General features: G+C 41.1%; 1 protein-coding gene across 9 annotated transcripts in view; it reads right to left on the bottom strand.

Moving 5' to 3' along the window:
• Positions 1-2,684: 2,684 nt before the first annotated feature.
• WDR7 (WD repeat domain 7) overlaps positions 2,685-26,208 on the bottom strand; it is a 385,248-nt gene continuing 361,724 nt past the window's right edge. For 5 of the 9 annotated variants that reach the window (NM_015285.3, NM_052834.3, NM_001382487.1 and 2 more), the window contains 2 exons: positions 18,442-18,546; positions 9,499-12,287 (listed from right to left, as the gene is read on the bottom strand). In NM_015285.3, coding sequence (NP_056100.2) covers positions 12,084-12,287; positions 18,442-18,546 — 309 coding nt within the window. In that variant the 3' untranslated portion in view covers positions 9,499-12,083. Of the gene's footprint in view, positions 4,937-7,150; positions 9,199-9,328; positions 9,467-9,498; positions 12,288-18,441; positions 18,547-26,208 lie in introns of those variants that run through there. The other 4 variants (XR_007066134.1, XR_007066131.1, XR_007066132.1 and 1 more) reach the window with 4 other exon arrangements.

Here is a 26,208-nt window from a genome sequence, read left to right as displayed (position 1 = left end):
CGCTTCCAACTGCTCCACCAACATCCAGCTCCTTATCTTCCTTCAGAGACCCCGGGTTGACCTTGCCCACTCCTTCCCTGGGCTATTGGGTCTCAGCTGCCCTTGTTTCCGTCACTGCTCATGTTACAATTTGTGGCTGGCTTAGTCCCCACCCCAGCCCACTAGACTGTGAGCCCATAAGGGCAGGTGTCACAACTGTTGCCTTCCCCACTACAATCCCAGCACCTAGTTCTCTGCCTGATGCATGGTAGATGTTCACTAGATATTTACCAGATGAATGAATGGGCTTAATTCTCATCGGAATCTACCAGAATGTATATGTTCCAGTGAATGTTTATCTTAATGTCTCCTGACTCTACAGTCAGAGGAGACATTCCCAAGGCTGATGCTCATTTCTTTTCTCTGTCCCCTCCTCCTTTGTGCTCCCATTGTATGCTTCAGGCTTGAATCACATGTCCTGGGGAGGAAGGCTGTGGACTAGAGCTGGAAGAGGAAAAAAAAGGAATGAAATCAGGGATGGATGGAGCTCAGGTGGCTGGGATCCAGGGAGGGACGGCTGAAGAAGGAAGCACTGAAGGAAGCAGACAGAGGCCTGGGATGCCAGGGAGGTGACCCAGAACCCAGTGCCTGTGTGCATAGTGCGTGTATCTGGCTATGCACAACCATTGAGGATTGCTCCAAGTTAAACCATCAGAAGGAGGGGCTGCGGGCGTGTGTACACTATGGATAATGGGCCTCACAACATCCAGCGCATTAGCTAGATAGCCTTTGAGATGCATAAAGGATGTGAGTGCCTGCACTGTATTAATTTCACCGTTGCTAGAAATGCCTGGAAAATAATAGGCATTCAATAAGTCACTGTGGAATAAATAAATGAAGATTGAATTTTGAGGTCCTTGGTTTTTTATTGAGGTCAATATGAGAATAAAGCATGTCTCTTTCGCTACTATAAAGCTGGCCTTGATGATAGCGTCCATTGATGGAGAGGAAAGAGCACTTTGGATTTTAATCCCAACTCTACCACTTTACTAGCTGTGTGACCTTAGGCCAGTTACTTAACCTGTCAGTGTATCAGTTTTCTAACCTATACAATGTGGGCTAATTCAGAATTATTGAGAGACTTAAGTGAAATTACATATGTCAAATGCCTCACATGGGCTCCAAGCACATCTGGATCCTCAATCCCTTCACTTGTTAGAAAAGAGACCTGAGATGTGTGTCACAGCCTGGAGCCTGCTGCAGGGCCAAAGCTGAGGCTAATGGATGTGAGTATGGTGGCATATTATGGTTTGCTCTAGTAGGTTCTGATATATTCCAATATTTCCCAGAACGAGATCATCAGGGATGGGGAGCCAAGACTATGTAAACCCGATATGTGACAATAGAGACTGGAACAGCCCCTGTCCTGTCAGGGGATGCTCTTTGCTGATTCTGGCCAAGTGGAGAGAGTATGTCTTGTAATACTTCTCTGTTCAAGTCACCTGGGAGGCAAACCATTTTTTTAATCTTAAGTTTCGGAAGTCTGTTTTATATGTATCAGTGACTCTCAAGTTATTAAAGATTGCCTCTCTGGAGAAGAATATCTAGAGGAAGAGGAGGTGTCTGCAAAAGCAAACGGGAGAAGTCAGAAAGTTGTGGCCCCATGAAGGCAAGGAGAGCGGGCAGTGCCAGGGACTGGCCAGCAGCACTAAATGCTACTGCGTAATCAATGAAAACCAGGGCCAATTGCTGTCAATCAACTTCCACTTTCCCAAAGAAAGTATCCATTGTCTACAAGAAAACAAACAAACAAACAAACAAAAAACTGGTTGCTGAGTTGTAAAATCACTAATTTGTGAATAGTCCTGCTATTCACAAATGAGAATCAACATAGTTCCAGTACTTGTAAAATTTGGCACAATGGCCATACATCCAAAGGGAAAACACAGGGGCTTACATGAACCAAAAACCTCTTCTATTCTCCCCACACTTCCTCCTGCTTCTAAAGACTGTGGCCGGATAGTCCCTGGCGATTCCCTCCTCATCTCCTGTTCCACGAGGGCCACTGGAAACACAGAGGAAACTGGGCCTTGGCAACAGAGTCTGGGACTCAAAAATATTAGATTTCCCTTTTATTTTTGGTGCAATCTTGGTCATTTGTCTATGTGACCTGCAGTTATTTTCATTTCTAAAAGGGAGCTAATTCTTGGCTTTCAGAATGAAGAATTAAGAAAAATAATGAATGCACCTACTATGGTACCTGGTGCACAATAAGTCCTCAGAAATATTAGTTCCCTTCCAGCTTTCCTCTTTACTTTTTAAAACTGAGCATTTGGATTTGGTTGAAGAAAGAAAAAAAAAAAAACAGGAAAAGAGTTCATGGTAAAGCTTATTTTCCTGTAACACAGAAGCAGGAAATTAAGACCTGAAAAATCTCATAATTTAAGAAGACAAGAAGAGTTAGGATAGTGGCATTCACTGAATGTTTACAATGATCTAAGTGCGCTGCATATATTAACTCTTTTCTCTTTTCATTCTTACAAGAAGACTATGAGGCAGGCATGATCATCACTCCCATTTTCCAGGCAAGGACACCAGGGACATGGAGATGTGAGTGGTATACAAAGGGAGTTATCTGGCTAATAAGTGGCAGAGCCATACTTGAACCTAGGTGGGTTCATCTGGGAAGGAGACTCTGAGACAGATTTGCTGAAAGCGGGTGTATTAGGAAGTGTTCCTGGGATCAACATCTGTGTGAAGGAAGCAATACATAGGCAGGGGGGAGCTGGACTGTGATGTGGTTGCAACAGAGTTCTCTGACAAATGCGCTGGGAGCTATGAAGCTGGAATGGCCCTTCAGAGATGTTCCAAACTGAAGCAAAGAGGGTTGAGTCCTTTTATCCCCATGATGGGTTATTGGGTGTAGCTCTCATTAGGGAGGAGGATGTGGCCTTGAGGAGAGTGGCTCTCTTTAGCCTCAAGCAATTCCTGTAGCAGGTCTCAGTTGGGAAATATCAGCTGCCGACAACCCAGTACCTGGGGGAGTGAATGCATACCACAGTGTCCCCTGCCTTCACCCTTTGCCCCGCTCAGATCCACTTGCTTTGAAAAAAGCCTGGGAACAGCCATTCCAGGATTCTGGGGGAAACATAACAGAAATATTAGTGGAACAAACTACAACCCCTGCTGTCGCAGCTGCTCCCAAAGCCACCACTGATATCTATTGCTTCCCTTCTCTACTACTCATTCTAAACTCTCCTCCCCCTTGGCAAGAATCTCTGCTACTTTCCATTGCTTACTACTGGGCAAACCCAGAGTCTCATCCACAAGGGGTCTGAGCTCCTGCTAACCATGCCATTTGGGTTTACAAACCAGGCAAGGGATTTTGACTTCTTACTGGAATGGCTGCTTTCAGCCTCCTGTGATCCATTTTCGATTTCTTTTGCCTGTATAGATGAACAATACCCTTGTTGGCTGCCCTCCCATCTTGCACTTAGGGATGACATGTTTTATTAGATCCAAAGATCTCTGCAGGTCTGGTCTCTCTGGCCGCCACTCCAAACTTGCTACTAATTATGATGATTGCACCCACCAGGTCTGTATTATTTCAGGACCTTGTCATCCTCCTTGATACCTGGGGCCCAGTTCTGTCATGACATCTTCTACCCTCAGTCCTGGCCTGCAGGGATGTGGGTGCCCTTCTAGCACCTTCCTTCAATTCATTGCTGGAATGAATGTCCCCAGCCTCTCTCGCAGAGCAGAGGCATCCAGTGGATTTGGGGGTACCTAGCATACCTGCTCCAGCAGTCTCCTCACTCTGAGCTTTCCTGTTCTTGCCTCCACCCTCTGTCACATCAGTTCTGACATTTCTTCTTAGTGTCAGCCACCATTTTCTCCAAGCCAAGCAGCTTATAACATCAGGGCAGCACTTTTTCCCTGGGTCCTTGCGGGTTGTTCAATCTCCTATCGATAAACTCTCCCTTGACCCACTTTATAGTCCGTTTCCCCTTGACCCAGCACCTGCTAAATCCAGTCCCATTTCAGTGGCTATGTTGGGTACATGTTGGTGAGGACCTACAGCTCCTATGGGAGATGGTTCTTTCCCTGTCCTAGCAGGTCCAGCACTTTGGCAGCCAGGTTGTACCATGACTTAACCCAAGTCACTCCAGTGGGGGGCATGTGTAGTTTTGCATGGGAGAAGCCTCTGCATTATCTTCAAGCAAAGAAAGAGGAACGCCGGCTTTGAACAGGGAGGAGCTGGCCATGTAGGCAGGCCCGAGGAGGGTTCACTGGAATCGGGGGTTCAAGATTGTTCAAGTGCATCAACCCAGAGAACCCCGTTCACCTCTGTCAGGGCTCTGACCCTGGGGCAGAAGATTTTTAGAGGTGAGTTCAGCCTCTGGAGCTGTGCTTCTCCATGGGCTGAGCCTGCTCATGTTTGGCTGTAGGAGATGAAGCTCTCCTTAGATGTTAAGGAGTCTCAGAGAGACTTTCTCTCTCTGAGAGAAAGCCAGAGGCTTTCACATTTAGCCTCTACTGGGTGATTAATCACCCTTCAGCTTTTCATTGTCTTTTTTCCAGAGCACTCCACAACAGTCATCCAAGTCCATCGTCTTTATAATTTTTCCTTTCCCTTACTTTTCAATTCCTGCCACGTGGTACCCTCCAGCACATCGCCCTCCATCAGCACGCCATACAAGCATCACCAAGGAAAGTTTTAACAATTGTGCAGCCAAGCGTGCCAGAGGCTGTCCATGAGGGCCCACGACCAGTGATGGGTCCTTCTTTTCATGGTTCAATGGGTGGCTCAGCTCCCAAACTCCATTTTTGAATCTGTTTTCTTGGGACACTCCTGGTGGGTTCTTTGGGATGCAGACTATGTGTGAGAGAGGTCTGCACATAGGAAGTTTATGGAGCAGTGTTCTCGGGATCAGCATCTGTAAGGAAATGCCCAGGCCTGGGCAGACAGAGAGGTTGAGCTGGGATGCAGTTCAGTGAAGCCTTCAGTCAATGCTCAAGGGAGTTCTGGAGCTGGGATGGCCTTTCCAAGTGGTTTTGAAATGGAGCTTGGGGCTGGGTCTTTTATTTTTATTTATTTATTTTTTTTTTGAGGCGGAGACTCACCATCCTTAGCACCTTCCTTACGACTTGCTGAGTCTCTGTCACCCAGAGTCTCACTCTCTTGCCTGGGCTGGAGTGCAGTGGCACAATCTCGGCTTGTTGCAACCTCCACCTCCTGGGTTCAAGTGATTCTCCTGCCTCAGCCTCCTGAGTAGCTGGGATTACAGATGCCCACCAACACGCCCATCTAATTTTTGTATTTCTAATACAGATGGGGTTTCACCACATTGTCCAGGCTGGTCTTGAACTCCTGACCTCAAGTGATCCTCCCCGCCTCACCCTCGCAAAATGCTGGGATTACAGGCATGAGCCACCACACCTCAGCCGGGGCTGGGTCTTTAAACCTCTTTCCTGACCCATCATGGGATGTGTTTGCTCCCCAGGAAAGGAAGCATGACCTTGGGTGAGACAGTTCTCTTTGGCTGGGAAGCAATCTTTACGGAAGGACTCAGCACACAGCTGTTAGAATGCTTCGGTTCTGCAGTGGGATTTGGGTGGGGGTGGGAGGACCTGGGCAGTGCACTGTGCCAGGCATTCAACTCACTGTGCCAGTCACACAGTAGAATCCAGGAGTAGGAGAACACACAACTTATTTTTAAAACAACAAAAGCTTTTCTTAAATAAAGAAAATGAAACATGGAAAACACTAAAGCCGGAAAAATCTTTTATTAGGGTTTTTGACTTATGGATTTCGAGTGTCCTTTGACAAAGGAGTCTGGTTTTCTGTTATTGCAATAATGGCTGCAAAGTGAAGAACTTTCTTGATTGTTGGCAGCATCTACCAATGTCCTTCAGGTTGTAGGTCTGAAGTAGTTTATACTCATTCCGATCACACAAAACTTTGACTTCTATAAATTCCTACATTATAACATCCCCAGTATCCTCCTAATTAATTCCTATTTATTTTTTAAGGCCTAGCCCAAATGTTTCCTCTCTGGGAAACCTAACAATACCACCTCATCAGAATCGATCACTTCCTGTGTTCTCATTGCTCTTTACCTGCCCCGGGTCTCAGCACTTATTCCATAGTGTTATGGTGCTTGGTGAGATTGTGAGCTCATCAGCAAGAGGAAAATAAAATAAAGAACATACGCTTGGCATATTCTAAGGTTCAATACAAGCTTGCTGGTTGAATACAAATAATGTTTCATTGCCGTATCTTTATTCACACATTTTCACTAAAACTTGAAGTGCCGCTGGGTGGGTCAAGTTTTAGAGCATCATTTCCCAACCTTTTTTGCACGAGGGACCAGTTTCATGCAAAAAAGGCTGGTGGTTGGGGATGTTTTCGGGATGATTCAAATGCATTATATTTATTGTGCACATTATTTCTATTATTACACTGTATATATATATATATATATATATATATATATATATATATATATAAAATAATTATACAACTCACCATAATGTAGAATCAGTGAGAGCCCTGAGCTTGTTTTCCTGCAACTAAACGGTCCTCTCTGGGGGTGATGGGATACACTGACAGATCATCAGGTATTAGATTCTCACAAGGAGAGTGCAACCTAGATCCCTCACATGCTCAGTTCACAATAGGATTCACGCTCTTATGAGAATCTAATGCCGCAGCTGATATGACAGGAGGCTGAGCTCAGGCAGTAATGCAAGTGATGGGGACCTCTGTAAATACAGATGAAACTTTGCTGGCTCACCACCACTCACCTCCTGCTGTGCAGCCTGGTTCCTCACAGGCCACAGTCTGATATCAGGGGTTGAGGGCCGCTGTTTTAGAGAATACATTTCAAATTTGGGAAGACTAAAGCACTAAGTCATTTTGACGTTAAGTCAGAACAAGAAGATATTGGCAACAGAACCTACATATTCAGTTTCCTTTGCTTTGGTGATTCCATGAAATCCACTCTACAATACTTTTGTCCAGAGTCTTATTCAATCTCGATAGATGCATATTTGGAAGAAACTCATTAAGAAACTCAAAGTCACCCCTGATGCTAATGTGAGTCCTAAATCTAATGCGGTGATCTTTCTTTTTGAGGAATCAGTGATAACTTCAGCCACAACCAACCAGTTTCCTCCATTGGCATGTATTTAGGCATTTCTTCATGTCTACAAATTTTGGTGAGAAGCGGGGTGGTAACACATAGCAATATGGCAAAGCAGCTGGGGAATACAAACAGAACCACAGGAGCCCTCCTTTGGATAGGATGTTCAGATCTACTTGTGGAGTCCACATAGAGATGAAAACATAAAACAAAAATCCAAGTTTTCCAAAGAACACAGGTCATCTTGTTTATCCATGCTCAATTAGGACTCCTGTCTCCTAAAAATATTAGCTTACATCTATTGAGTGCTTCCTGTGTGCCACTCTTCTGAGCATTTGACAGGTGCAATACAATGGATTTCACAAATGCAGCACATATTTACTTCATACCCCTACAATTCGAGCAGTGCTAGACTCCTGGCCTTCTCTGGGAAATCTCAGAATATTGAGGAGGTTTGGCTGGCTGCGTTCTCTTTTTGAAACAAAACAAAATAAAAATTTCCAGCCTGATCTATCACCTCAGAATAGAACGGGATTTATTAATGAGTAAGCAGGTATATAAATAGAAGCTATATTTTCACTATATTTTTAATACTCTTTAATTAGCACATGTTTACAGCAGGCCTGATGATGTACTTTAGATACTTAAGACTCCTTTGTCCTTCTGAGCTTGTCTGGCAGGTATGGGCACCACTGGCTTCTTAGTTTTCTTATCAGTAGGAAAGCAAAGAATCTATATCCACTTGATGGAGGTATTTGTCTACAGAATGAATGGCTCTAATCTTGCTGGTAAGAATGAATTGTTTACCATCTTCCTAGAGGTGCATAAACCTCTCACTCAGAGAGACATTAATTAGAATATCTTCATAAGTAATTTGCTTAAAGGGACTTGGGAAACTAGAAAAAAAATTAAGTTCTAGGTACAAGAACTCTTTTCTCATGCAAAGGATTGAACTGAATGTGAAGGAGGATCCAGGATTTACAATGCCATTATGGCAGAATCAACATGAATTGCAAAACCAAATTCTGAGATGTTAGCACAAAACAATGTAACCACTCAAAAAAACAAAACAAAACAAAACAAAACAATCTGTAGCCAAAAGGTGTACAGAAGCAGGAAGTCTGAATGCTTTTTGAGCATTCAATATTCATCGTTCTGCTGCTACAAAAATGTAAGTTTTGATTAAAGAGGGATGATCACCTCAATGGTCACACAATTGTGAGCTTAGTTCATTAAAAGGACAATTACAAGCACAAAACTCTCTGTAGTCCTTTTTTTTTTTTTTTTAAACAGCAAAAAGAACTGAACATCTAATTTTTGAAATTCTTCTGGCTTTTCTTTTTGACCTTTGGTATTTGTATGTATTGACGATCTCTAAACCATTGCACAAAAACACCTTGAAGTGTCAGGCTTTAAAAATGAGTCTTCTTTTCTCTTTCTCCTGTGCAGCTTGGATTATCTTGGCCTTGTCAAAACACATTCTCTAGTTAGAGGGTGGAAGTATTTCCCTCCTGGCTCCAAAGTATTGATTTTCTTCAACACTGGGCTCTGTCAGTCAGCCGAAGGGGTGAAAGGTGAAAGTTCACCCAGCACTGCTTGGCTTTACCTTCCTATTAACGTCACGCCTTTCCACATTTGATCAGTTTATGTGATCGCTGATCATATAGAACTGTTACTGCCCCTATTTTCCCTATAAGAATACATTTAAGTCATGAGATGTTAAAACATTTCCTGGGGCCCACAGTGGGCATTTAATAGGGCCCAAGATGCCTCAGACCACTCCTGGAATGTTCACCGAATTCTTACAGAAAATTATACTGTTACACGATGATTGACTCAAATCAAGCTTTTGTGTTCTTATCTGAAATAATTAAGAGACAAGAAGTACATTCACTACTTACACATAACCCTCTATGAGCAGTAAGGACCTATTTTATTATTCTTGATTTTTCTGAAAACCAATTATACCCTTTACCTGAGGGATTCAAATTCGACTCCAAACTGAGCGTGAAATGCAATGAACTTGATGATCTCAGCCTAGCTCCCGAGAGGCAGCCAACCCATGCCATCCAATCTGACAAGATATGATTTGGTGCCATTACCAGTCTATTTGGGAGCATGTAGAGTAGAGATAAAGCAACAGGCATGCAACGCCTTTCCCAAACCACAGAGAGTGCCAGTGAGTTTCTGGAGGGAGAGCTTACCTCTGCACTTCTGCTCTACTGTCCTCTGGGAATAAGTTGCCTTTCCCAAGCCAGCTCTCCAGGGAAATGAATGATTAGAAGCAGCAGGGCTAGCGGAGCATACGGATTTCAACTGAGGATGTTTAAGATGAGTGAACACTGGAAAAGGTAATATTGTGAGAAAAACAGTCTTCAATACAATTGTTTTATTTAACACACATATGTACACAGGAACATTCAGCACACATAGAGTCTATTAAGTGGAATCATTAAGAAATGTCTGGAGAGGCAGACATTTTAATTCACTCGCTGTACACAGGGAGTTCAATCATCACATTTTCATACAGGTGTCACGTCATGTCATCTTTTGCTTGTAAATTACCAATGAAGCCACATATGTCTCTACATATACAAGGACAGGTCCAAATACAGTGCCAGTGAAATCAATAAAACATTAAAGGTGTACGCTGGGATGACAATGCAGAGTTTACCTCAGTGCTGAGAAATCTAAGCTGGGATGAAGTTTGGGACTGTGGCTATTAAAATAGCCAAGGAGAGATTTATGTTAACAAGAATGCAGATATTAGTTTAGTAGTTAGAGATGACCGTCTAATCATCAAACATCGTCCACCCCAGGGTTTTGCAGCCATAGCTTTCTACTGGCCTTGGTTGCCTGTGCAGACGGAATACGTGAAAGGCCTACCCACGCTTGTGGCCCAGGGCTATTGCTCCTCTGGGCCCCCTGGCTTTGTTCTCAACCTTCGTGGCGGGGGGAGCCATCCGTGTGTTTGCGGCAGGCTGCCTACCACTCTCACACCTCTTTCCTGACACACAGAACATTTTTGTTAAAGAAAATGCTAAGGTATACATTTACCTCATCATTCCAAATAGAGATGTAGTCTACAATAAATTAATTTCCATTTAAGTTCATAAAGTAAACATATGTTGGGTATAGAGAAGACTCTGGACCCACTGGAAAACAAAGTGAGCCTTTTACCTTACATTTCTCTAGCTATGCCAAACACAACAGCACGTTCACCAAACAAATAAAGTCTAAACTGTATAGGTCTTTGTTTCTTCCTTGGAAACTACATATATAATCTTTATAAATACAATGTACATGCATGTGCCTAAATTCACTTTTGAAAGAATACCCAACTCTAAAACCAAGGAACAGTATAGATTTGCCGTCAATGGAAATAACATCATATCATTATGAAAGAGATGATCTAATGGTCTTAATTTCTTAATATGCTCTTTAAAAATCTGTTTCAGTGAAATAACCAATGTTTGTTCCTAGACTTTGATCCTACTTTTTTGTATATCAGATAAACTCTGACAACCTAAACTTTTAAGACTAAATTCTCCCATTATCATTTTGGTTCCTTTGTAAACTTCACATATTTTCTCTGAATTTAACAAATAATTTTCTATTTTTGCATGTAATAAATGATTTTGCCCAACTAACCAACCAATCAACAATTAGGCAACCAAACAACCCCTCACAAGTATATACAGATCAAGGTTTGTTAGAAACAATTCATACAAAATATAATTCTATTTTTTTCATTATTATGAGCTAGAACCAGCACAATCTGACATAAGAAGAAAGTGGTCTAGTTAAAGCTTACTTAGAAGCATAATGAACACCCTCATTGCAATGTTTGCTCAAATAAATCGAGAGCCCACATATTTTTATATACACTCCTGAACATTTGTGCCATAGTTATTACTTTTCCAGAATACTTGTTTAAAAGAAATACCTTATTAGCTTTCCTTTAGTTGATCAGTAGTAGTTTGAAGGCTGAATTATAATAATTTCATAACTGACATATGCCACACATATGGGAACTACAGGATTGCAAGTTTTCCGGGGGAAAGGGGTAAGCTCTTTCTTCAACAGGATCTGTAGCAGTAGATAGGAGAGTCTTCATTTTCGGTACACGCTATGCTTCTGAACTTGGCTCTTTATCACAAAAGTCCCTTCAAGAGATTAGTTACAGTGACTGGATAATTACATTAACTAGATCATAGGGAGTGATTATTTTTATTTTAAACTACTAAATAGACTATCATTTAAGCAAGAGATGAGCACTTCAGAAGGCTAAGTGTCTGGAAAACTATTTTCTACAAGGAAAATATTTTTGTGTACATAATTAATCATGAATCTCAAATTGGTTAGCTGTTGATAAAGAAGGTGGTAGCTAAACCCTAGGAAATTGGATTGAGTAATTTCCTAGCAATCACCAGAAGAAAAGAACATGTAAACACAGAATCTTTTTGGTAAACAATATTTTAGGTAATTCAAAGGGCAATAATTTCAATCGTGAGGACTGCCACATGACCTCAACACCCAGTGTCAGAACGGCCAGATTCAAGCAGCACTTCAGAGGTGCGGTTGAGATGGCTAAAAATGCTGATCTGGGCTGGGAGTGCAATCACAGTGTTTATTGATTTTTGTGCTTCTGTTGCACCAAGCAACAAGAGCGTTCCCAGGAACCACTGGCTTTCCCCTGCCATCTCTGGCAGGGAAAAACTACCTGGTGACAGGATGGCCACATCCTGCAGAGCATGTGTGCGTGCCTCTGAATCGACAGATGGCACGAGCGGGTTCTGCCCCTGAGAAGCATGCACAAGTGACAAGACCCGGCCGTGCCACTGGATGGCACTGGGGTGGGCAGGCCCCTGGGAACAATCTGGTGTGAGGAAGGACAGAGCAACATCGGCTTGGATAATTTAGAGAACTAAAACGCAGTCACGGCGGCAGGCAGCAGCATTAGACCATGAAGCGGTGCTCCTTCCCGTCATGGGCCATGAGGATGACGTTGCGGTTGGAAGTCCAGATGAGCCGGGCCAGCTTGAGGGCATTGTGGGAGCCGGGGGACGCGGGCTGCACAGGGGGCACCTGGTAGGTTTTAATGCAGCGCAGCTGAGGTGCCGAGTTCAGCATGCCGATGCTTCCCAGCAGTGACGTGTTCATCTGGAGGGACAGGAGAGCACATGTGTCACTTGAACAGCCCTCTCCCTTTCCCTATCACAGAGACTGGGTCGATCTCTCCTGGCTACTTTCCCCTCCATCATGGTTATTCTCCTTCACCTAAGCTTGTTCTTAACCTCTCAAAAGTTCCTTTCAGTGTGCTTGGAATTGTTCCGATGCTGTTATGGTAAATGCAGAAATCTAGAGGAATTTTATAGGGGTAGAACCTGACAAAAGGAGAGTCCATGGATCTTTAGGAAGAGGGCTAAATTATACCTCTTAATAAAATGGTTCATTTAGACAACACAGATATTTGGAAATTGTGGATATTTAAAACTGAAGACTTTCATGTTCTTTACCACAATGCTAACTGCACTCACTCCCTGAAGGATGAGTCAGCGAAGACAAGTTTTGGGATTTGTAATTAGTTCAAGAAAAGGAAGCAAAGTTAAGCAGTAGATAGAGTGACAATTGGATCAAATAAAGCTCAAGACTCCCTTCCACCCCCATTTCCCACCTACTAATACCTTCACTCTTCACTTGCTTTTTAAAAACTCGCTTTCTGGAAAGCTCTTGCTTATTATAAAGTGCAGAACCAGAATCAATTTCATCTCAACACTATGTCTGTGCCTCACTGTTTTGCTATCATACTAAGGAGAGTCTGCTGTTAATATTTTATTGACAATACCTTTTTATCAATTGATAACTTCTGCTTTTTGGCAGTTTTTCTGGATTTAAATTTTAGGTTTTCTTAATCCAGCCACATAAATGAAAAACAACATGGAAATTATGAATCATGAACAACTATGCATTCAGGTTGAAGTACTAAATACTGAATGGTAGCTGTCTAAGTGAACTGTTTCCTAAGCAACTGAGTCTGAAGATTTCTTTAGATTCTAAATATTACTTAAAATATCTTCAATAGCATTATGTGTGCTATTATAATATCACATGGAAAGAATACTGAAAATCTGGAAAGAAGCCTTGGAAATAACACTTTTTCTTTGTACTAATTTTCATTTCCAATGCTTCTCTCCAGTATAACCTCCATCTCGATGTAAGATTCTAGAGATTTGCATGAAGCATGCAGATTATGATCCAACATCTACAAATGGTTGATCCATGAAACTCTGGCAAATCCTAGGACATTTAAGATGCGTTATCACTGACATCATCCCCTGCATGTGGATCAGTGCAAAACACAAGCCATTCCTTTTTCTAGCCCTTCTCAGCAGCAGGATGGTGTCAGAGGGCGTAAATCATGGCATCTCTAGCAGAGTGTGTGCAGGCTCCACTGACATTTTCACAATTTAAATCATCTTGAGTAATAACCCTTTTAAGATGACTAATGTTACTGATTTTCCTGCATTAATAATAGCGCTGAACACAACACAGAGGTGAAAAAAAATCACTAGTGTACGAGGTCACATTTTAAAACCAAATGTATGGTTATTGTTAACTCTTTCTGTTAAAGTTCGGTTCCTGTTTCCAGCCAGGCAGTTCCTTACTGTCACCCTTTCAGAAGCGTGTTTCTTTGCTTCCTTCTCTCCTTTTCCCAAAAACTTCACAGAAGATAAAAATCAATGCCTTATTGCTTTCTTGGATGTTCCCAAATAGTTAAAATATAAATAATGATGATGAGCTTAATTTGATAGATCCAAATGACACAGAAGATTGCTGGTTAACATTAACTGGCATCAACAGGCGTAGTGTGTTTTAGAAAAAATCTAATTTCTCAGTTGATAAATAACTACAAGGTATTTTTCATTCTTTATGGATTTTCTATGAATATATGTATGAAGCTTGACTTCTGCTGGTAATTCAAAATGCAAGGGGCATATAATGCTCAGACACTTCCTTATTTTTAATTCCTCTCTTCAAATTTAGCCAGGAACAAAAAATGGGTTGAGAGCTAAACATGAAAAGGGAGAGAATATCTCATGGGAATACTCTAGATGTAAAGATTTTAGAAAAGGCCATTACAACTGGGTTCCTCTTATAACCTGAGCCATCCCTACTTTGATAAATGCCTTTGGTCAGGTCAAATAGCCTTCCTGCCTGAGAATAGGGATTTGTGAAATTCTATAAGGGACATAACTATCATAGTTCACATATCCCTATTCCTGCCTGAGAATAGGGATATGTGAAATCCTGTAAGGGACATAACTATCATAGCTCACATATCCCTATTCCTGTCTGAGAATAGGGATATGTGAAATTCTATAAGGGACATAACTATCATAGCTCACATATCCCTATTCCTGTCTGAGAATAGGGATATGTGAAATCCTGTAAGGGACATAACTATCATAGTTCACATATCCCTATTCCTGTCTGAGAATAGGGATATGTGAAATTCTATAAGGGACATAACTATCATAGCTCACATATCCCTATTCCTGCCTGAGAATAGGGATATGTGAAATTCTATAAGGGACATAACTATCATAGCTCACATATCCCTATTCCTGTCTGAGAATAGGGATATGTGAAATCCTGTAAGGGACATAACATGTGGAACGATAAAGACCCCCATGTTCACTAAAATGCATTGCTCAAGATCATCCTTTCCCTATGACCTCTTCAAATTCGGCATGAATGTGAAGTATTATAGTAACGGTATTAATTTTTCCAATAAACTCAGACAAATGACTCTCTCTGAAACAACTAACAATTTTTTCAATATTAATGTTTTCTTGAACAGCGACTGGATACAAACGATGCTCGAGTAAGGACATCTTGAGCCTTGAATGAATGCAAACTATGTGGAATTATGAGATTTGGTAACATTCACTTTTTCCTGATTGCAAAGATAGTAAATACTCATTGTGGAAAATTCAAATAATAAAGAAAAGTACAAAAAGGAAAGCAAAAAACCCCTGAAATATCTTTTCCCAAAGACAGTCACTGTTAAAATTTTGGTAAACAACCTTCCAGACCTCCACATATACATAAAGATGAAGAGAAGCAGAGTTAATAAATTTTATATAAACAAGCTTATATTAAAATGTAGTTTCATAATTTGCCTTTTTGTTCAACAAAATGCTGATGGCAGTCTTCTCTTGTTAATGACTACAAATTTACATTATTCCTTTTAAATGGCTGAATAGTATTCTACTATACAATGGAGTAAATAAAAATAAACGAAACCAGTATCTACCTAATTTATTATCAGCATTTCTGAAAAAGGATATTTGCTGGACAGTGGTGGTAAGATTTGGGTGAGAGAATTGTGACTGTATTTCATTACTAAACTCCTCCTCTTGCTCAAATGCCAATGGATACAGAGAAGTGAAATATTCAAATTGTAGAAAACGGGGTTAGAAAATCAAAGGGCTTGAAAGACTGCCAAATTACATCATTTGATAGATGAGAATGTAAATTCACTCAAGTGTAACTTTGGCTTTTTTCTTCCCTTCAAAAATAAACGCTTCACAAAACTGGTTCTTTGAAGATTATTTTCTGAACACACAGAAACACAGCTATAATTCATCACAACAGGAAATGTTTTAATGCTATTCCCAATGTAAGTAATGCTGCACACAGACCTTACTAAGTCTCACTTGAGTAATTATCCAACCAATATTTCTCATTAACACTCATTTCTCAGCAAAGATTTTAATAGCTGATAGCTTTAGTAAGGCTCTGTATTAATAAGACTTCATTAACTTTTCAAAATATATTACAGTACACTTACTGGAATAATATAAAAGTATTCTGATACATCATTACAACGAAACAACATGTATCTAAATAAATCAGCAAAGCCCATTTGGGGAGAGCAGCAGTAGATCTAATACTGTTTTTTGGACTCTTAATTCAAATAAGACAACTACAATTCTGGAAGAGATTTCATTGCATTTTCCTGAGAAAGCTGAAAGGACTTGTTTTTGTATCTTCCATTAAAATTTCAAGACTGAGTTTGGTACAACATAAACATGAAGAAATGGGCTGTATGTTAAATTCCGACATTGGTTTTAGAGGCAAGAATGACCTGGGTGTTGCCTGGGCTGCTTTGGCTTTGGCATGTGCAAATAACAGGAAGCAGCCCTTGGAGTAGGTGAGCTTGTGGATTAAGGACATGTACTGCAGCCCCACTGTGTGCAAAGCCACGTGTCCAGGCACACAGATGTGAGTGCGCTTGGCAAAGCCCAGAGTCAACAGCAGGAGGCTTCAGAGAGGAACTGGAAGACAAAAAGATGTTACCTGAAAAGGAAGCCATCTAATAAACGAGCTTGGTCTCTAAGTGAAAAGGATGTTACCCATAATCCCATCAGTGACCTGGGCAGTAATTTTGATATAAATAGAAAAATATTCAAGGAAGGGATGAGCATATCCAAATAAAACCTTGAAGATCTTAGGGGAAAAAGATAATTTAACATTTAGAAAATTTCATTTAAAATACTCCTGAAAATACTGGGAAAAGTTTCAAATCTGGCTAATATGTGAGGTATTTCTTATATAAGAAATTATGTTTTCTTAGCAGAAAGAAAGTTGGAAAAAAGAGATGTTTTGTTTGTTTATTCCAAAGAAGAAACCCTGGACAGAACACAGGTTTCTGGCAAGCACGGACCCATGACTTACTGATCTCTGTGTCTCTAATGCACAGGCCAGTACCTACCACTCAGACATCCAATAAATGTGGAATGAGTGGAGCTTTATATAAATATTCCTCCAAGATCCCAAGAGAACAGGAAATAAAAGAAAATTTGTATGAAGGTACAGCTGACATAACAGAGGCCATTGAGTTAGACACGAGTGGCGGCGGGGGGGACCCCAAAAAAATCAGTAGGTAAAATCCTTAAAGAACCACTGCTGCAAAAGCCCAGTTTCTGGACACCTAATGGAATCACTGTGGAATTTCAGGAGTGGAAAACACCAGTGCTGTGGATACTCACTGGGAAAATGAGGGCTGGGTGAGATCTCTGATAAAGGGAGTTTAATATGAGCGAATTAAGATGCTGGAGATATATTCTGGAAGAAAGGCTAATGAGAAAATAAACTGGAAAACTAAATTAGATAAAAGTAGAAGAAGTCTGACAGATTTTGAAGTTGTCATGCTTTAATAGCACGTTGTTACTTAAGTAATTTATTGTATCCATTTTACATTTTATTACCTATTGATTTTTTCCAACTATCACCCAGTTATGCTGAAGCCTTGTTTAAACTTTTATTTTGTTTTGTTTTAGATTTCAAAGCAATAAACTGAATCTCATAAAACATACTGGCATTCTAAGAAAATAAAGGTAACAACAAAATTTTAAATTAACTTTTTTGGGGGTGTTTAATTTCTTGGTAATTTTCAGGACTAAAAGAGTAAGGTAATTAAAAAGAAGATGGGATAGAAATTAAGCAGTGAGGATCAAACATATTCTATTGCCAAAATTAGTTGCTCAAAATTAATGTTCATTTTATTCAGAACTAAACATAGGCATTCTCATGAACTGCTTACCAAAGACTACGTGAGATCTTAAGAAATGTTCTGAACAGTTTGAGCATTATGAGTATTATGTGGGAAATTCAGAATGCAAAGAAAAATGAGATAATTATAAAAGGGACATGAGGTGAACACTAGGAAAACACCTTATTATCCTATGCCCTACACCCTGTTAGAGTCACAGACCCAGGGACCAAGTGTGAAGGCCTCGTGTAAATGAATAGCTGAAGCCAGCGAGGCTTCTCCTGCCCGATTCCTCTCAGGCCAGGCCCTCAAACATGCCGGCCCTTGCTCACGGCTACTCATGCACCTGTGCCCCCTTCTTAACCACCCACACCTCCTGACCCACCCTGAACACTGAGCCCTTCCTCCACATCACTCAAGCCTCAGTTTAGGTGTCACTTCCCCTGAAAAGCCTTCCCACCACCTTATTCTCAGGCTCCCCTGGGACCATAATTGCTTGCTTATTTATGTATGTCTACTTCAGACTGCAAGCTCCATGAGAGCAGATGCCCCTCTTTCCAGATTGCTAATTGTATTCTCAGCACCCTGCATGCTAGTGCCTGGCACATCATCAGCAATCAATACAGACTGGATGTTTGCTGCAAGGAGGGAGGGAGGACAGGAAGGAGGGCCGGCAGGTAGGCTCAACAGGAAGGCTTACTACCAAAGGCATATCACGCAGTATATGCTTTAAGACCCTGGAGCATCTACTCTTACCTGCCAAAAAGAAATGTGGCTGTCAGTGTTTGAGTAGGTGGCAAGATATCTTCCATCAGGAGCAAAAGCCACTGCAGTGATTGGTCCCTTGTGTCCATGGATTGTCTAAAATAAAATTCAGATATCATGAATGATAAGCATTTCACAGGACAATTACAAGTACACACACAAATGCATTCAATGTTGAACAAGTTACGTCATGGGTATTAGATGCTGTTATCTTCTTTGTTTATAAAATCAGCTTAGAAAAATAAGCAAAGCAACAGACGTTCTCTCATTGAGGGAACTCTCCAAGGGCTTCAATCTTGTTCTGAGGTGTCCACCTGCCTCCTAGTTGGGGAGGGCAGCATGAGCCCAAAGAAAAAGCATATATTAATAGGCAAACCAATGTGCTAATTCATTTATGTCCACCACAGGGAAAAATTTTACAATTAGTTAGAAAGGTAAGAAACTGATCACCAGAAGTATCCAGGAACTTTGCTCATCTGAAATAAAAAACAATCAAAGCTGCGTTATAAAAATCCCTGTTCTGGAAGGAGTTAAAGACTATAATTTCATCTCCTTAATAATTATACACTGCTCATGCTTTATGCTTCATTTTCTACCAATAACACTGTATTTAAATGTATATAGCTGCAATTAGTAAATATACATCCACACACATGTGGGAGGTTTGGGCACACACATAAATCAAATACCATTAAAAACAAGTTAACAGGGATAGTTTTGAACCTCTGCCAAATAGCTATCATTGATTTAACCATGAATAATAAAAAGGAAGTTGTATTTTAGACTAGGTCTTTGATAGAAGGTCCCTCCTAATAAAAACAATACTCAAGTCTGATGATATTAATAATTACAGAAGACATTGGATACTAAGCAAATTAGCATAATATTGTATTAATCTCCCTGTACTGAACTATTTAAAACCATACCTCTGCCACAATAACCAATATTCAATCTGGCTTACAAGCTGTAGGTTGGTCTCCTCCCTTTGTCTAGAAAGGAATAGGAAATGTGTGCCCTTAAACTAAGAAAATTCAGGACAGGTTTACTTCCAGCTGTCATTTTTGATAAAGAATTGTGAGCCCTGAGTCTCAGTGGGAGCATCAGGCTTGTTATGTGTTTCGGCCCACAGGTAGTGTACATTTCAGGAGATTTTTTTCATATTACATATCTGAATGCCTAAGATGAAGAAGAAGAGGGAAAACAGGGGTAGGGACACAAGCACATTCCTTGCTGCCTTTGCATTCTGTCCTTTCTTGTCATTAGACTTTCAAGGGACTGTGGTGTCCCAAATAACACTTGTTTTCTAACACTCAAAAAAAAAGTTATGTTGGTATAGAACTGGGCTCTGGGCAGGGAGAGAGCATTGATGTGAGCCGGACTTCCTGGGTTTGCATGTGAGCTCTACTACGTATTAACTGTGGAACCTAAGGCCACGTTATTTAAGAAACTTAACATTGCAGAGTACCCATGTTTGTAAAGTAGGAACGATGATGATGATGATAATGATAATATCTAACTCAAAGAGCTTTGTAAAGGTTAAATGAGGTAATACGTAGCGTTCTGCACAATGCATGGCATATAACAATTCAATACTTTTAATATTTTTGTTACTCCTGCTTGCTTAGAGTTGACCAGACACATATAAACAGTCATATAACTCAATCACTTGAGTACACTATTCAATGAACCCTTCTCCAAAACTCTGCCTTAATCACATATCTCAGAATCACCATCACGTAGCATACCAGGTTGCCTACAAACACAGACTTCAGACTGTGGCATTTGATGAAATAGATGTGATTACTCATGATGCTGGCCCATAAATGTACTAATTTAAGAAATGGAGTGCACTTGCTGCATAATTAGCGCAAGAAACCAGCTTAACATGAACTATTCTGGAATGAGAATCACTCAGGCAGGAAAAAAGCCTTTCACCAATTAAATCGGAAAAAGTGGTCCATTCCCACTTACTAGGTCAGTTTAATCAGCTCATTGGGAAAGCATTTTTAACTGTTTTTTAACATCAAGATTCAGTTCTGCTAAAAGTCTGAAATTCTATTGGGCCAATCTGAGGACACTTTATAGTAAAGACAGTAGGACAGTAAGTCCTTGACTTAGAGGCTGCAAACTCAAAACCCTTAACCTGAAATTAGATAATAGATGTGTTTGGTTTGGCCTGCAAAAGTGCAAAAAACAAATTTTTTCAGCCCATCTTTCTAATTGATCAGATCTTCTGTAAAAACAAGATTTCCAGCCTCTCCTGAAAAACTGGAGGATCGGACAATACTGGGCCTCTGTTCACATGTGGCAGCATCAGCCAGGGCTGAGTGGTGGTGAGCACTTCAGCCTGAGCATGTGCTCTTCACTTCACCAGTCCAGCACTGACACAAAAGAAGACCTGTGTACCAGGCTGCCCAGCTCACTTATTTCCCACCTGGTCCCTCCTGGCATTTAATGCAACCTTTCTATTACAAATATTTGATTCAAAATTCAAAGTTTCTTCCATGCTCTGGGATCCTAATATCCATCTAAAACTGTGAGTAGATTAAAAGTTCTTCTAAGAAAAACTGGCCCTTCTTGAAAGCCCCCAAAGCCCAACTCTGTGTAGAGGTGGACTGAGCCTCCTTCTGGAGATTGGGCCCCTCAGTTTCAAAACAGAATGCCAAGCCTTCCTCCTTCAGATTAGCATCCTTCCTTAATCAGCAACCAGAAGGTTGCTTCAGTAAGTTAGAGAACATAACAGTAAGCAGGCTATAAACCACCAGGTCCAAAGCATGTTACAACCCAGTGGACACATTCACAACCCTTTCTTTGAGGCTAGCAAGTTAGCTTTTTGTAAAAGTAGTAAAACAGACTCACTGGGACCATATTTGCTCCTTCAGAACAGTGTTCTCTAAATATTCCATTTTTTGTCTTCCTCTGGCGAGTATTTAAAACATCCACGTGAAGGGTACTTCTATTTCAGCTGAAGACACTGATCATTGTTATTTAAGTGTCTCTCAAAGAAGATTTTGGGAAATAAGTTCAGCCTGAATTGTCTGCTGGGAAAATGTTTGTCTTTCCAGATAAATTTGTTGCTTTCATTTATCATGTAACAATAATTACATAACCTAACACTGTCTTGCTTTACTGCCAGGAAACTCAGAACTAAATTTATGCTCATTCTATGTAGATCAAGTAATAAATACTTCCTCCTACTCATTTTACTCATCACTGTTCCGTTTTCATTTGTTGTTGTTGAAGTCCTGTCATATACTGAGTTTAACTTTCTTGAAAGTCTTCTTTGGACAAAGGGGGACTACATCTTGGATCAGAACATCACACACACACACACACACACACACACACACACACACACACACAGCATGACTTGGATAAGAACAGCACACACACATGCACACACACACACACACACACACACACACACAGCATGATGCTGCTAGGTGCCCTACAGGGCTGGCTTTTTAAAGCAACCTAAAGAAAAACCACAGAGTGCTGACTGCAGCTGACAGACAGACCTGCTGTCTCGTAAGAGCAAGCACCGCTCAAGCAGTGCAGGGAAGTTCGCTGTTTTAAATGGCTTGGTACATCTGGTGAGTTCATTACAATCTCAGCCCGAGAGGTGCTTCAACCCTCACTGTAATGGAAATGTTGCCATTGTCTTTTGTTCAGATTCTCTGAACTTCTAAGATCTGTGCAGGCACCACCTGAACTGACTTTAACCTCTACTCTGGCATTAGAGATGCAGCTGTGCGGATCGCACAGAACTTGTAAGTGCTTTGTGATGGAGCGGATTGGATGGTTTGGGTCTCAAATGCTAGACCTTGAAGAACATTTTCCAAAAAACAAACAAGTTTCAACATAAATAGAGGTTTGGTAGACTTTTTATATGCGAATGAGTATCATGCCTTGTTATATTTTTAGTCAAAGAAATTGCTGTCTTGAAAAGACAGAAATGGAATATAAAGAAATTAATCAAATTCAGGAAGTGCTACAAACAATTAAAAAAAATCAAGCAATTATTCCTAGCAGGAGATAAGAGTGTTGAACTGTTAAACACCCCCACCCCTTTTTCTCATTAAAGAAAAGGAACTGGGAAGCAGAATAATGAACAATACTTAATGTACCCAAGTTTTTAACACACATTTTCAATGTGCTCTGCAAAGAAATATAATTAACCCAGTTGTACAGAGAAGGAACCAGAAATGAGAATTTCTAAAATGATTTGGTCAGCGTCAATAAAAGCCATGACTTTCTAGAATATTCTCTTTAAAACTGCTCTCACATGGTTTGTCAGCTTCCAAATGACAAGTTTGGGACTTGAAACCAACCCACTTTGAGGTTGAATAAAATTAAAGAGAACATCTTATGTTTACTTGTAGGTCTCATCATTTTTTTTTCTTTAAGGGGGAACACAAAATCCTATCTAAACCATTTTCTTAACATAAATTATGAAAACGAGATTTCCAAAAGTAGGTAAGATTTCCCTATCATAAATACCAGCACAAGGAAAAGATTCATAAAGTACTGACCCATGTATTTTGTATAACATTTAGTAACATAAACTGGAAAAATGCACGAGCGTGGACTGAACCTTGATGACCCCCAAGATCTTGAGGGGCTGAGAGGGAAGCGGCCGGTGTGGCTGTGGGCTTCTCAGGAAGCAGTGTGGCTGACTTTAGATTAAGTCAGGCAGTTGCAATTTGAGGGGCGCTTGAAAGGTCTGCTGAGCCGAAATACGTCCTCCCCAGTTGGCTGCACGTGGCCTCTGAAATCTCGAAAAACACAATTATGCCTTCACCTGAGGCATTTTCCCTAGAATGTGCTCCGGCAGAGGGCAAACAGGACAAGCTTGTTTTCATAAGGTACAAGCATGGCAGATGCCCTGACTTTAGGGTGAGCCTGAATGAAGTGTCTGTGTGTGTATGGAGTCAAAAAATAGGTAAGACAGGTCAGAAATTCAAGGCAGTCAGTGCCTCAGAAGTGAGGAAGAACTCTCAAAAGGAGAGGCAATACCAAAGACCTGCAAATACCCACATCTTCCCAGTGCTGCTCCCACTTAATGATACCCGGCAACGCCAAGTGAGGTGCAGCGGGTGCTTGCAGCACTCATCGTACGTTTGGCATCTCTCTCATGTTAACAGCAGCTGAAGTCAGAAAAGGGCAGCTAAGGAGGGGGAACCAGGCTCTGATTTGCATGCCTTTCTGACATCCCAATACAGGAGCCCGTAGATTTCATGGCTGGCTGGCAGGGAGGTAACTGCTCAAGGCAGAGAGAAGACAAAGACATCGCTCTGACTGACAGCTCTGTTAGGCAAGGGAAAGGCTCATCAAAAAAGAGCCATTTCAAAAGAGTTTAAAAGTTAAGAATTAATTATGTTCCAGGAAAAAAAAATCCCCCTTCTTTTCTCCCAAGCAATCAATTTGTGAAAATTTTATTAGATATTTCAGGTTCATCTGCTCAAGGAAACAAATTATAGATTCAACAAATAATTTAGGCAGATAATAACGCCATTAAAAAACAGATAATCTCATCTATGGCCGATTAGAAGGTTCAAGTCCAATTTAATTATCACGATGAACTAAGCCTTCTCAAGTCTCTTTGTGCATAGGCTCTTAAGATCACATGGTGTTGCCAAGAACACTGAAAGGTCACCCATTCTGCTGTGTGTGTGGACAGGGCTACGGTGAAGCAGGTCAGACAGATGAAAATCTATTCTGTTTTCAGATATCTCCAGAGAAAGATTCCCACATCTCCCCTGAGGACCCTTTTCAGTGTTTAACAATGTGTGCTGTCAGGGAATTTTTCCTTATATCAAATCTAAATCCAAAACACTGCAGTTGAAGCTTGCTTCCTCTGGTCCTGGCCTCAGTAGAGATGGAGAACAGCTGGTGACCAATCTTAGTGTGACAGCCTTTTAAAAGCTTGAGGACTGTTGCAGCAGCCTGCCCCCTCTTTTACTTAATTTTGTTTTCAGGATTAAAAAAAAAAAATCCCAGTGACTATAACCTTTCCTTTCAGGTTTTATTTCTCAACTTTTTAATAATTTCAGTGGATTTTCCTTAAACTCTCTCCAAGCTTTCCAATCAAGACATCTTAGAGTTGGATGGTATCTTTGAGGTCACCTTATTCAACTACATCTCATGATGTGGAATTTCTTTTCTTCCTTTTTTTTTTCTTTTGAGACAGAGTTTTACTCTTGTTGCCCAGGCTGGAGTGCAATGGCGCGATCTCGGCTCACTGCAACCTCCGCATCTCAGGTTCAAGTGATTCTCCTGCCTCAGCCTCCTGAGTAGCTGGGATTATAGGCACCCACCAACCGCCTGGCGAATTTTTTGTATTTTTAGTAGAGACAGGGTTTCTCCATGTTGGTCAGGCTGGTCTTGAACTCCTGACCTCAGGTGATCCACCCACCTCAGCCTCCCAAAGTGCTGGGATTACAGGTGTGAGCACCTGGCCTCAAGATGTGGACTTTCTTTTATTCCTTTTCTTCTTTTTTTTTTTTTTGAGATGGAGTCTTACTCTGTCACCTAGACTGGAATGCAGAGTGCAATGGCACGATCTCGGCTCACTGCAATCTCTGCCTCCAAGGTTCAAGTGATTCTCCTGCCTCAGCCTCCCGAGTAGCTGGGATTACAGGTGCATGCCATGACGCCCAGCTAATTTTTGTATTTTTATTGGAGACAGGGTTTCCCCAAGTTGGCCAGGCTGGTCTTGAACTCCTGACCCCAAGTGATCCACCTGCCTCGGCCTCTCAAAGTGCTGGGATTATAGGCGTGAACCACTGTGCCCAGCCAAGATGTGGAATTTCAAACCAGACTGAGTACTGGAATTAGATCAGATGTCATTACAGTTTCTCATAACCCTATGCAGCCTGGCCAGCATATGCTTATTTTATCAGAAAACAGCAATTGTGGCTGATGATCACCATTAAAAGATAATTTACTAGAACTCCTTGAAAAGGAAAAACTCGTACAGTTGTTGGCATGCAGATGGCTGCATCTGCAGTGCTCCCCGTTATCTTTAGGAGAGTGAGATGTGCACACCTAAGCCAATGGACAGTGTCTTGGGGCTGCAGAAACATCTTGAAGAGGCATCCACTGACAAAAACCCAGATGATCAACCCCTGCTCTAAAGCCTCTTCTATCACTTTCCAAAATACATTAGTACTCATTTTGCACCCTGTTTATTTTCATTAAACATGTACTCCCATTCATTTATTGCTCGTTAACCCTCTTCTATTTCTCTCTTCTCCAATTTACTAATTCTCAACACTTACATCATATCACCTGGGTGCTTAAAGAGGTTAGTTTCTGTCTCACCATTGGGTCTTGATAAAATTGCATCATATAACGTAATACTTTAATTTAAAACAAAAAGTGGATTTAGCAAAGGTCAACTATAAAACAGTTGTCGTCATCCTTGAAATAAATTTTAAAATTGTACATGGAAGGGTAAACATGCATTACTATGCTATACCACAGAACAGTGGTCCTCAACCCCTGGACCATGGACTGGTACCGGTCCATGGCCTGTTAAGAACCAGGCCGTACAGCAGGAGGGTGGGTGACAGGTAAGCAAGCCTCTGCCTCCTGTCAGGTCAGTGGCAGTGTTAGATTCTCATAGGTGTGCAAACCCTATTGTGAACTGTGCATGCGAGGAATCTAGGTTGTGCCCTCCTTATGAGAATCTAACTAATGCCTGATGATCTGAGGAGGAACAGTTTCATCACAAAACCATCCATCCCACTCAGGTCC

This window comes from Homo sapiens, chromosome 18 (genome assembly GCF_000001405.40).
Source record: "Homo sapiens chromosome 18, GRCh38.p14 Primary Assembly".
In the NCBI taxonomy this organism is placed as follows: Eukaryota; Metazoa; Chordata; class Mammalia; order Primates; family Hominidae; genus Homo; species Homo sapiens.
Note: the sequence above shows the minus strand (reverse complement) of the source record. Positions and strands in the feature narration are given on the sequence as shown.